The following is a 13,717-nucleotide window of genomic DNA, read 5'->3' as shown; positions in this document are numbered from 1 at the left end:
AAGTGACTGTACTATTGCATTCCCACAATTTAATATAAGATGCTGAAATAAGTACTTATTGCAATTGTGAGTGAAAACTTATAACTCTTTGGGAAAGCATTTTTGGCATTCTGAATCAGGTCAGTAAAAATGTTTATTCTCTGGCCTTCAAGAAACATCTTTGTAAGGGATAATCTAAAATATGCACAAGGATATTTGTCAAAGTACCATTGTATTAGAAGACTAAAAATATACACTCCAGCTGTTGTCTTTGGTAAAATTTATAAATTCAGCACTAAGTTAGGCATTGTGGTGGGTTCAAAAGCAACTTAAGATGTGTTCCTTGACTTACATAACTTGTAATCTAGTGAGAAAACTGTGCTAATTGCCTGAAAAATTTTCACTGAGCAATGCAACACAGCATTAAATGAGTGTTAAAATATGCCACATTAAGAAGAATGAGCAGTAGGGATGAAGACTTGGATGGATTTCAGCAAGGTTTTGAAGCACGGCTAAAGCTTGAGTTGGAGGGTTGGAGCTTTCTAGGTGGAACACACCATGACTAGAGGTAAAAATGGTCTAAGTATGTAAAAATCATTGGAATATATGTATGTATGTAGAGATAATAAAACTATGTTATTGGAGGCTCTTAATGGAACAGGAACAGCATAATCTTTAAAAGCTGGAAAGACTCTGCTGTGAGGCTCTGCATTCTTATAAAAGCTTTGGGTAGTCTAGGAAACAGCAGTGCTCAGGAAATGGTAGAAAACAATCATTTTTACTGGTACTAATATAACAAATTTCAGCTTGATAGAGTAGTTTGATAAGGAACCATTGTTATCTTTTGTAAGTAGCACTAACATATACATTATATTCATGGTCATTTTTTCTAGTCGTTTATGTAGGATACAGAAAGGAGAGAGAAAGAAAAACTTTTTTACCCTGTGATCCACAGAATGTTAAGCCTCTTGGTAGCAGAACCTTTGTCTTGTTATTAAATACTTCTGTCTTCCATGATTAGCACATTGTATGGGGAGTAGGAGTAGAGAGCTGGTTGCAGGATTTATAATTAACCCAATGAAAGGTAAAGAGAAGATTGTCTAGATTAGCCTGAGGTATATATAACTGTGTTAAGTGATAATGGTTCCTGGATGAGGTTGATGGATTGGGCAAAATGATAGATTGAAAGATTTGAAAATCATGCTTTAAATCATATGTGCATTTCTTGAATGTATAGAATGAGCAAATAGTAAAGGGAGGATGTCATATAAACAGTGTAATACCTGCCATTTACTTAGTGCCTTGTTTATGACAGGTGTAATACATATTATCTCACATTAAAGTCATACTACAGGGCACACACGGTGGCTCACGCCTGTAATCGCAACACTTTGGGAGGCCAAGGCTGGTGGATCACTTGAGGTCAGGAGTTCAAGACCAGCCTGGCCAACATGGTGAAACGCTGTCTCTACTAAAAATATAAAAATTAGCCTGGCGTGGCGACAGGTTCCTGTAATCTCAGCTATTCAGGAGGCTGAGGCAGGAAAATCACTTGAACCTGGGAGGTGGAGGTTGCAGTAAGCCCAGATCATGCCACTGCACCCCACCCTTCCTGGGCAACAGAGTGAGATTGTCTCAAAAAAAAAAAAAGTCATATTGTAGATGAAGTGGAGTTATTGAATTGCCCACAGACACACAATTATTAGATGTTAGAGCTGGGATATGAACAGTGCACTTAAAAAAATAAAAGCCAGCTCTAATGTTACTTCTTCCTTTCAGGAAACCTTCCATATAACTCCTGTCCACCTTTTACTACCTAGGTTAACTTGAGGCTCCTCCTTTGTTTTCATATGATATACAGTTGGTAACTGCAGTTTTGCATTTGCTTATGGAATTATAATTGCAGAATACATTTGGAATTTGAGGACTTAGCATTCTCTGATTCATCTACTCCTTCAGTAACTTGCAAGTTAAAGGTGAAGGCCCATGGTGTGAATCACAGTGCAAGGCAGGTATGCCAGAGGGACTCACTCCTCATGAGTGTAGGCCCAACTCTTGAGATACTAGGCCAAATTTTCAGAGGTCTGGGCATTTTCAGCAAATGCCCAGACTTTTTATGTTTGTCTCATCCAGTACCTAACTTACTCAACTTGGAATTCAGTGTAACACAGCTATGAGTGTATGTTTATATTCAAGTAATTCATAGTATCTTTAAACCATAGGTCCTCTGCTGTACCACTTTGAAAATCTGGCAAATGAACTTTCCATAGAATTGAGCTATGAGGATATAAAAAACGTTGTTCTGCAGTATGGATTCAAGGTAGAGGTAAGAATGGAATAAAATATTGCCAAAGTTTAACTCCCAAAGCACCTCAACAGAAGTGTTGATATCATGGCTGTTAGTGACTATTTGAATTCTCTGTTTTCTTATCTATAAAGGGAAGATAATACAGGTTGAGTATCCCCTATTCAAAATGCTTGGGACCAGAAATGTTTGGGATTTTGGATTTTTTTCCAATTTTGCAATATATGCATATACGTGACATATCTTGGGAGGGGACTGAAGTCTAAATGTGAAATTCATTTATGTTTTATATATGCCTTATAAGCATAGCCCGAAGGTAATTTGATACAATATTTTAAAATTTTGACCACCTGCCACATGAAGTCAGATGTGGAATTTGTCACTTGTGGCATTATGTAGGCGCTCAAAACATTTTGGATTTTGAAGCGTTTCAGATTTTCAGATTAGGGATGCTTGACCTGTGTTCCTTAGTTTTCAGAATTATAAGGATTTGGGATAATGTGTACATAAAGGGAAAACTACTTTCTGGTGAAATAGCCTTTCAATAAATGGTAGCCGATCATTATAATACTGATCTTACAGACTCTCACTGATAGAAAGTAGAGTAGGCTCTGGGGAAAACAAAAGGGGGTCGGAGGGCAGGTGTAAGAGGGATATTCACAATATGTCCTTGTGTACTGCTTCATCTTTTTTTAATCATGTGCATTACTATAAAGTTTTGTGATATTTTGGCTATTGTGTTTCAGTTCATTTATTTAGAAGCATTCCATTTTAGAAACAATAGGTTTGTTTTTAAGAATGACGAGAAGCAACATATTATAGTAGTTCAGAGCTCAAGACTGCCTGAGTTTGAATCTCAGTTCCACCACTTACTAGTGTGACTGTTCTTTGTAAAGTGAGACTACTAATATTAATAGTACCTCTCTTATGGGGGTAGTTGTATGTAATAAATGAATATGCTTAAAATAGTGCCTGCCACTGATACATATGTGCTCAGAATTTGTTAGTGGTGTGGTCATGATGACTGTCATAGTATTATGATTATTGTTTGCATTGCAGGTGGAAAAAGAATCTGTATTGTCAACATATACTGTGAATGATCTCTCTATGATGAAATACTACTATGAATGTGTCTTGTTTGTGGTCCGTAAGCCACAATAATGGTCTCAAGTGATACCACCTGGAAAAAAGTTTAGTAAGAACAAATGCTGAAATCAACGACTCAAAATCAACTATCAGTGATGACAGGACACAACCTCAAATCAGTGGTGCCTTCTTATTCCTAACGAAATTTAGAAATAGTGTCTATTTTCTTAATATGTCTATTGCTTTTTCAGAAATATACTATGCCATGCAGATTTGTACTACACAAGTAAAAATGGAGGAAATGTCTTGAAGTATACTTTTTCCTTGAAGCCCAGAATTGTGTTTCAGTAGGAAAAAAACCTAATCTCCAGTGTCTTCATGATGCTGTCCATTGCAAGTCTGCCGAATTAATGACTAATAGTATTGAAGTACATAATAATCTTCCTTTTTTTGTTGTTTTGTATGCATTGCACATGTAACTTTTAGAAGAGTCTAAGGATCCTCAGTCATATTCAACATCTGGAGTTGGGACTTTGTTCACTTTCAATCTAAGAAAACTATGCGTAAAATATGTCTTTTTTTTTTTTTTTCTTCAGAGACAGGATCCCGCTCTGTCTCCCAGGCCGGAGTGCAGTGGCACGATCATAGCTCACTGTAACCTCAAACTCCTGGACTCAAGCGATCTTCCTGCCTTAGCCTTAGCCTCCTGAGTAGCTAGGACTGTAGGCATGTACCACCGCGCCTGGCCTGTGTCTATTTTATCATTCAGATTAATTTAATTTTGTATTTTCTGGCTCAGATGAACTTAAAGAAGCATCAAACATTTCTTTTTTATGAAATGTTAAATTTAATAGCATCACAGGCCGGTAAAATATATTCAAGTAACAGAAATATCAAAGTCTTTTGGCCACAATAAACTGAACACTTTATGAAAGCATACTCATCATGGATCACTTTGAAATATACGAGATCTCAACATTCAAAGTGAGAAATAAAAAGCCTTTATTAAAAGTAGTGCTAGGAAACAGAGAAAATAAGAATAAAATTTACCCATTTGAAATATGTGATTTTCAGACTCTAAATGAATACAGAGTTTGACAGTGTGATGTTTACAATAATGTCTTTTCTTTAGAATATCTGGATTATGAAAGCAAGCACTTTTTTCATTAAAAAAATTATATACTAGGAAAAACTGTCATAATAGTATTAATGTGGGGAATTTTGATTATGAAATTCAGGGATATATTACTGCCCGTGGTCTGTGTCTTCAATATTGTAAGCAGCAGCCATCATGTAATTTCAGATTAATACCAATTTTGTTCCCTGATAGATGGAGCTTAAACAGTATATGCTGCTTTAAATTTCTACCTCTAGCAGATCTTTATTGGAGGGAGTTTTCCTTTGTATTTTTTAATGTATGATATTCTGTTTCCAGTAGCTTGGAAAGTAGAGATGACTAATGTTTTAGCCTTTTCTTGGAGAAAAGGAAGAACTCTTCTTGAATATTTTCACAGATGATTGTGATTGCTTTAAATGACCTCTGTGGCAATTTAAATTAGATGGATTTAATCTCAGTAATGTGCTGGTCGCATAAATGTCATGTTTTAATAGGAAAAGTTACTTGTAAATCTTTAGACCTTTGTTGTCACTTAGGCTGGGGAGTCACTACCCTATTTGGCATCTTACTAGTTGGGGGGACCTTTTCCGTGTACAGTGATGGGACTTTTGTGACCTTTACTCTCACTATGCAATAGAGGGTTTCATGTAGTTAATCTGACATGTCAAAATTGGGAAGACTGTAACCTTTTTTTTTTTTTTTTAAGATTTCTCTTTTTTGTGTCCCTCAATACTTAGCAGATGTTCATTTGGTGGAAATTCTTATTACTTACATGAATGAGTTTGAATTTAGTGGCAAGGAAGAAAAAAAAAACTCAAATTATTGTTTTAAAAGAAGAAAACTTGCAAAGTACATAAGTATTTTTTAAAAATCAATCGAACAGAAAGGAATGCATGCTGTTTTTCAATGGCTTAGACATGCTTTTTATTCACTGACTAGTATTCACTTTTTTACAACTTGTATCAAAACAAATGATCTTTGTTTTTGTCACAGGCAAAAACAGGTTGACACTGGTGGGTTGGCTTTATTAATTAATTTTTTTTCTATTAGGTTTTCTTTAATAATGTTAAATTTCTAAATTATAGCATATGTTTTAGTTAATTCTGAAATCAGTTACTTCATTTGTTAATTTATCCCTCATATCATGAATATTGTTTTTTAAATGTTCTATACAAATTTGCATCACTTCTTTTCTTACAGCTTTTGCAGTTAATATATTCTAAACTTGAAAATGTGGTATCAATCAATAATAGAAGTATCACTGGAGGATTTATTTAGCTTTGTATTTCTTAATTTTAGTCCTAGCTACTAAAGTATGTAAGCCTTAAAGTTTAAAATGTTTTTCTTAAATTAGCTTTATACACAAACATTTTCATTTACTTTATGAAATGGGAGGAGATAGTCCACTGTGCTTATGTTTTTTTGTTTAATTTCTATATTCTGAAGCAGTGCAGATATAGGGTATGCTAATCAAGTGAGCAAGGTGGAACATGTACAATATAAGGAGAAGCTGTAAAAATCACAGTATAAAATTATGAAGTTTGGTAACTGTAAAATGTACTGTATTTATATGTAACTCTCATTCTAAAAGTTGCCACAAAAGCTGAATTGGAAGCTTCATGTCTGCATGAAATTTCCTATATTTTTAATGTGTATGATGAAATTAATTTTTCTTGAATATTAAAGTCTGCCAATTGCTATGAAACGATAGTTGCTTGGTTTTCATCTAAATTAATGTAACTATAGATGTGGGGATTTTAATGAGTTGAGCATATATACTTTTGAACTCTTGGATTAGCCTATTTTTATATGCTTCTAAGAAGTCAGTAACATGAATACTTCGCCTTATAATATGCCAGGCCTTATACTAACTATTTTCACTTTGTTTCATTCAAGTTCACTGTAATAAAGTTAGAATCCATTGAGGAAAATGAATAATCTTGATTTTCAGTTTTGTTAAATAATGGAAAAAGAACTATAAAAGGAACTAGTAGAAGACAGTTCTAGGACCAGCCATCAGTGGGATGAGCACTTAGATCTTCTGGGTTCATTTTCCTGAATGATTGTGATCTCAGGCAAGCCACTCTTTGGCTTATTTCCTCATCTGTAAGAGAGGATTAATACCATCTATTTCAGATGGTTTATTAGGTCATATGAGCTTTTATATATATTTTTGTGTGTATGAAAGCACATGATAGACGATTACCATAAATGTAATTTCAGTCTGTGTTGACTGCTATATAGTGATGGAAAAAATGAGGATTGTTAACAGGACATTAGTTTTAATTATCTTACAGTGACCCTTTGAAAAAGATTTCCGTGGAATCCTGGGGAAAACAGTAAAAAATGGTAGGTACAGATACAGATTCCAAAAGTTTGTTGGGAATTATAATGAAGTATAATAGTAGGTAATGGGTGAGGGCATAAGTAAAATTTAATGGCATGTTACTCCCACTTTTATTAACCTGCTAGCACATCCCTCTTATATATGTTTGATTCTTTCTCTTTGATACCTATTTAGATGTGGGATCTTTCAGTCAGTGTGTATGTGCATTTTCAGTGAAAAGTTGCCTTTCAGAAGGACTGCACCAATTTACATGCCAGGAACAGTGTTTAAAAGTAACGTATATCCATTCTGTGGCCAGTACTGGATATTGCTGAGCTTTTCATTTTTGTCAGTACAGACATACCTCATTTTATTCTACTTTGCTTTATTGCACCTTGCAGATACTGTATTTTTTTTTAATTTTTTTATTTTTTACAAATTGAAGGTTTGTGGCGACCCTGCATCAAACAAGTCTGTATTGGTGTCGTTTTCCAACAGCATGTGCTCATGTCATGTCTCTGTGTCAGCATTTTTTTGCAATCACGTATTTTTAAATTAAGTATGTACATTGTTCTTTTAGACAAAATGTTATTGCACATTTAATACGCTACAGTATAGTATAAACATACTTTTATATGCACTGGGAAACCTCAAAATGTGTGTGACTCACTTTATCATGATGGTCTGGAACTGAGTCTGCAGTATCTCCAAGGTATGCCTGTATAAGAAGTGTTATCTAATTTGAATATTCATTTACTTAATTATTGGGACAGTTAAGCAATTTCTCTGAGTTTAATGGCCAAAGAGAAGTGTTTTTAATCTGACAGTCTATATGATTTCATGTGGCAGACCTGATAGGCCATTGGCAACAGCTCCAAACCTAATTAAAACATAGTGAGGTTCATCAGGGAGAGTATTGGCCAGAGCCATGAGGACTGCCTTGAGTTCTAGTAATTGAGAGGAGCAGCCACATCTGCTTTTGGATTTACATAGCTGGCACTGAAGCTGAACAGCAGCAGCAGCTCCTCATTGGACTCCATTATGTTTCATTGTAGCCAAACAATTCATGAAGTAGACCCAGAAATTTAGGGGAAACTAAGTCAAGGGCCCCATTGAACCAATGGGATTGCTTTATGCAGTGGAGTTGGCCGTACAGTTTACCTCCAAAAGGATAGCTGCCATTTTTTCATGTAGGACCAAAAAGCTGCTAGGGCCAGGCCAGCTATGCTATTTCTCTTTGACTAGCAAGGCTTGTTAGATACTTTTCACCTTGTTAGTCATCAAGTCGAAGTTGACCCATCCCAAAATGGGGATGTCAAGCCAAAGAGTCAGAAGACCCATGTTAAGTCACATTAAGTTTCAACAAAAGCTTAGCAGATTAATAGCTGCCTTCTTTTGTTAACATATAAAGATGTATGTGGTGGCTGGGTCAGGCAGCTGTTGTGATTGTTAGTATTGAGCTGTTGCCTCTCTGAGTACTCAGGCAGCCATTAAGTCTTTGAAACTTCTCCTCTTGGAGGCCTATATTACTTATACTGGACCACCTGGGGAGGGAGGTCAGTCTGTGCCGTATTCCTTGAAAGTGAGATGGAATGAGATATAGACCAAGAAGTGCAGGCATAAAATCCACGAATTCTATTATACATACATTGAATATGTCCAAAGAACCATGGTGACATTATTTTTGAGGGGTCCAGCTCCTCATCAAAAACTTGGGGGCTGGGATAGGACAGAAGAGAGTTGGCACTTTCTCTAGTTTAACCTCTTGCTATTTCAGTAAGTGATTAAAGCTTTGACTGTTCGACGTGCCTGCTCAGCTCTCCCTGGCCCCTAACAATTTCAGTTTTCCTTCCCCACTCCAAGCCCTGTCCAAACCCTGTCAGTTGAATTAAAGTGCCTTTTTTCCTGTAGGAACACAGACCAAGAAGTTTAACATGTGCATCAGGTGCTACAGCACAGATTCCAAAAGATCAGGTTATCCCCCAGTTGGGAGTTCCAGGTGGCAGAGGAAGCTAGTCTACAATGACAGTAGGAGCAATGGTGGTGGGGCATACAGTTCATCTGCTCATAATTGTTATATCCACACAATTGTCATTAGTATGCCTGAGTGTTTATGCTTGCAAAAAAATGTTATTGCCTATTTCAATGTGTGGAGTGGCCTGCAAAGTGTTCTCTTGTGTTTTTATTTTTCTCAGTGGTGGTGGGAAAGAAATTTGATTCTCAGCATTTTTTTCCATTGACCACTGTCTCCAGGTTCAGTACCTGAGCACTGCTGCTACTTCTTCCCCCATCTATCTCCAGCATCCAATGAGTGTCCAGCTTCCAAGACCCCTTACTTTGGTGCTGATCATAATCTCAAAATACATAATCCTGAATGTTGAAATCCTGAAATACCAAAATCCTTAAGGTCTAAAGTCCCTAACATCTAAAATTTCAATGGATTAAAATCTTTGAAATCCCGTGAGACAAATTCTGGGGAAGGGATTAATGTGTTTTCAGTTGTATGCAGTGTACTTGCATCACGACAGGCAGAACTATTACCTTGTTATTGTCTCTACTAGGAAATTACAGTTTAAGGGGATTCATATAGGTGCCAAATTGACAAGAAGTGGACTTATGGACATAGTTTTAGGTGTCACCTTGTCTGGATTAAGGAATACCTAGAAACCTAGTAAGGCATTATTTTCAGTGTATCTGTGAGAGTCCTTCTAGGGGAGACGTGTATGTGAGTCTCAGTGGACTAAGTGGGAAAGATCTGTCCTCAGTGTTGGCAGGAGCCGTCCAATCAGCCAGGGGCCTATAGAGAACAGAGAAGGCAAATTAGTCCCTCTCAGAGCTGGGACAAATTTTCTGCTGCTGCCTTCGACATCAGAAATTTGACACCACAAACTACATTATCACAGCATTAACCATGTGTAAGCATTATGCATGTATGTAAAAATGTAGAAACTTCCTCAGTAAAGGAAGAGATGTCCTCTTTGTACATCTGCATTTGTCAAAGATAAAATTTCTGAAAATCTTGGCTCTTTGGGCTAATGTGTATGTGGTGGTGACCCACTGAAGGTTTTTGGTTTTTTTGTTTGTTTTTTCAAGACAGAGTCTTGCTCTGTCGCCCAGGCTGGAGTGCAGTGGCACCATCTCAGCTCACTGCAACCTCCGCCCCCTGGGTTCAAGCGATTCTCCTGCATCAGCCTCTCAAGTAGCTGGGACTACAGGCGCCCACCACCGCGCCTGGCTAATTTTTGTATTTTTGTAGAGACAGGGTTTCACCATATTGGCCAGGCTGGTCTTGAACTCCTGACCCCAGGTGATCCGCCCATGTTGGCCTCCCAAAGTGCTGGAATTGCAGACGTGAGCCACCATGCCCAGCCAAGTTTTGTTTTTTGTTTTTTGTTTTTTTGTTGTTGTTTCCTTTTGAGATGGAGTCTTGCTCTGTTGCCCCAGCTTGAGTGCAGTGGCGTGATCTGGACTCACTGTAATCACCTACTGGATTCAAGCAATTCTCCTGCCTCAGCCTCCTGAGTAGCTGGGATCATAGATGCCTGCCACCACACCCGACTAATTTTTGTATATTTGGTAGAGACAGGGTTTCACCATGTTGGTCAGGCTGGTCTCGAACTCCTGATCTGAAGTGATCTGCCTGCCTCGGCCTCCCAAAGTGCTGGGATTACAGGCATGAGCCACCACGCCCGCCCCCCCCATTGAAGTTTTTGATTGATCTCGTCAGGAGACTTAGGTTGTCTATCACTGTATTTCAGATGACTGCAGTTATAAAGCTGGGTGTATGCTTCTATATATTTAGCTTTTTCACCCATTTCTTTATGAATACAGTTTATCTGCTCATAATTGTTACATCCACGCAATTGTCATTAGTATGCCTGAGTGTTTATGCTTGCAAAAAGTATGTTATTGCCTATTTCATTGTGTGAAGTGGTCTACACAGTGTTCTCTAGTGTTTTTATGTTTCTCAAATCCCCTTTTTAAAATGTAAATAAATGCTTTTTAAATAACTTTTAAGATATTTTTCCCTACATTATGTTTTCAAGATTTTGAAATTTTGGGATTGCAATTTTCTGGATTTTTAGACTTCAGGGACTTTGATCTTTCAGTATTTCAATATTTGAGATTATGGCATTCAGAATTGTTTTTCAGGATTATGATCCTAACTTCCTTTCTGTCCATGCTCACCCCACTGTGTTCTGCCCTGCAGTCTTTCAGCCTTGGCTGCCCTGGCACCCAGAGCCCTGTCCTCATTATAAGCCAGGTTGGACTGTTGACAGGAACCAGGTGTTTGCCTTTATACTATTAGGCAAGGTGTTTCCTTCACTCACTTTTAAGTGGCCACCCATGCTCAATTCAACCAAATTAACTTCTGTCTTCAGGTCACTCAAAGCTCTATATTAAATAGCAAAGCCTTCATTGCTGACACATTAATTTACCTTTGAGGACTCTCCATCTCAGCAGTCACAGCCGTACCGCCTTTTAGCTAGGACCATGGGACTTGCTGCTCTGTTGTCATAACATTTCTTCTTTCTGCCTGGAAGAGAGTGAGCAACAATGAAGTTATTATTTGGGTGACTTCTTTCAGTCCTGCTTCTAGCAGCTCAGCATATAAACGGGAAGAAGTAGGGCAATCGTATTCATTACTGGATCTTGGGAGTCTTATTTTCTTGAACCGGCCTGCAGAGCCTTGTCCTTCCTAATCCAGAAATCCATGTCTATCAGCATCCTTCCTTTCTCAACAAAATTGCTAAGTCTGCTATTTGAGTTTACCCTATTTACAATCTAATAAGTTAGTCTGTTACAGTTTCCTAGATGCTAGTAAAGACATGAGAAATTACACAAATAATACAGAGAGTTCTGTGTACTCTCACCCAGCTTCCCCCAAAGATAGCATTTTAAGTAACCATATTATTAAAACCTTGAAGTTGACATTGGTACAATACTATTACTAAACTACTGACAGACCTTGTTTGGAGTTTACCAGTATTTGCATGCACTGTTGTTTTTTTCCCTTATTTTTTCACTTTTAACCTACCTTAATATTTAAAATGGGTTTCTTATTAACAGCACATACCTTGGTCTTGCTTTTTAAATTTTAATTAATGCATAGTATTTGTACATATTTATATAGGGCACATGTGATATTGTTAAATGTATAGAATGTGTGATAATCAATTTAGGGTATTTGGGGTATCAATCACCTTGAATATTTATTTCTATATATTAGGAACATTCCAAGTCCTCTTTTCTAGTTATTTTGAAATATACATTGTTGTTAACTATTAACTATAGTCACCCAACTTTGTAACAAACATTAGAACTTACTCTATCTAACTGTATGTTTGTACCCATTAACCAACCTCTCTTCATAGCCACTCCCACCCATATGCCCTTCCCATCCTCTGATGGCTATCATTCTACTCACTACCTCCCTGAGATCAACTTTCTTAGCTCCCACATATGAGTGAGAACATGCAGTATTTGTCTTTCTCTGCCTGGCTTATTTAACTTAATGTCCTCCAGATCCATCAATGTTGCCGTAAATGACATGATTTCACTCTCTTTTATGACTGAATAGTACTCCATTGTGTATCTAGACCACATTTCCTTTGTCTGTTCATCTGTTGATGGACACTTAGGTTGATTCCTTATCTTTGCTGTCAGTAGAGCTGTCAAAAACATGGGAGTGCATGTATCCTTCTGGTATACTGATTTCCTTTGGATAAATGCCCAGTAGAAGAATTGCTAGGTGGTATGGTAGTTCTATTTTTAGTTTTTTTCTCTATTGTTTTCCATAGTGGCTGAACTAATTTACATTTCCACCAACAGTTTGAGTTCCCTTTTCTGTACATCCTCACCAGCATCTGTAATTTTTTTTTGCTTTTTAATAATACGTATTCTAATGTAAAGTGAGACCTCATTATGATTTATTATTATTGCATCAGTCAACCTTTAATGTCCAAAGGAGGCATGGATGCAGAGCATAGGAGATGTGGCAGGGTCTCAGGCCTTGCTCCGGAAATGAGGGAGAGACGAACACAAACCAGACACTTTCAACTGACCACACAGTCTGGGAGGGCAGGGAGAAACACAGATTTGGACATTCATGAAAAAAATAAAACCTGAAATCAAGCACTCCCATTTTGTGCCCATTGAAGGGTTTGATATAGGAAACTCAGTCACCACCCTGGAGACTGGAGGGGAGGTTCCCCCTCCACTGCCAACATCAAAAAGCAAGCTCAGCACACACTAAGGGCTTAGGGAGGGGCATTCTGCCTCCCCACCAGCCCCAAGAATGGACTTGAAAATAAAAGAATAAGCTGGATCCCCTACCCCCAACATTGTCAACCCTAAACATGAGAGTTTTGAAGACCAGCCAACTAACAACAGGGGCTGCTCCAAGATAACTCCAGAGGAATGAGAAAACAGAGGGCTAAGCAGGGAGCAGACAGGAGAAGAGTGTAATGAAAAAAAAAAATTCAAGCTAATCCTACCCCCAACATCCTCCTCACATGATCTCTGGCAGGAAGAACAAAAGAAGGTAATCCACAAAGACACAGCCCTTAGAATTTCTGACAAAGACAGCAAGACAAGTCTGCTCCCCACTCCCACACACCACACACACTATATATATATTATATAATCTATATTATAAAGTAATCTAGATAGTATGTTACATATTATCTATATTATATATAATTATATATATTATATAACTATAGATTATATAATATAGATTATAGATTATATAATATAGGTTATAATTATAGATTAATATAGATTATAATTTATAGATTATAGTATAGATTATAACTTATAGATTATATATAATATAGATTATATTACATAGCTTATATAAAATATATTGCATATTATATTAAAAATATATATATTTTTTGAG

At 37.1% G+C, this 13,717-nt stretch overlaps 1 protein-coding gene and 1 long non-coding RNA gene across 4 annotated transcripts in view; one reads left to right on the top strand and one right to left on the bottom strand.

Moving 5' to 3' along the window:
- The window catches only part of CARNMT1 (carnosine N-methyltransferase 1), a 47,641-nt gene extending 41,219 nt beyond the window's left edge, over positions 1-6,422 (top strand). For 2 of the 3 annotated variants that reach the window (NM_152420.3, NM_001320497.2), the window contains exons 7-8: positions 2,202-2,305; positions 3,344-6,422. In NM_152420.3, the coding sequence (NP_689633.1) occupies positions 2,202-2,305; positions 3,344-3,445 (206 nt within the window). In that variant the 3' untranslated portion in view covers positions 3,446-6,422. The remainder of the gene's footprint in view (positions 1-2,201; positions 2,306-3,343) is intronic. The other variant, NR_135282.1, reaches the window with a different exon arrangement.
- Positions 1-13,717, bottom strand: part of CARNMT1-AS1 (CARNMT1 antisense RNA 1) — a 44,418-nt gene that overhangs the window by 10,171 nt on the left and 20,530 nt on the right. Inside the window, exon 2 of the long non-coding RNA NR_121183.1 lies at positions 11,253-11,350. This is a non-coding gene — a long non-coding RNA (CARNMT1 antisense RNA 1). The remainder of the gene's footprint in view (positions 1-11,252; positions 11,351-13,717) is intronic.

This window comes from Homo sapiens, chromosome 9 (assembly GCF_000001405.40).
Source record: "Homo sapiens chromosome 9, GRCh38.p14 Primary Assembly".
Taxonomy (NCBI): domain Eukaryota; kingdom Metazoa; phylum Chordata; class Mammalia; order Primates; family Hominidae; genus Homo; species Homo sapiens.
The sequence above is the reverse complement of the archived record's forward strand: the minus strand, read 5'-3'. Positions and strand labels throughout refer to the sequence as shown.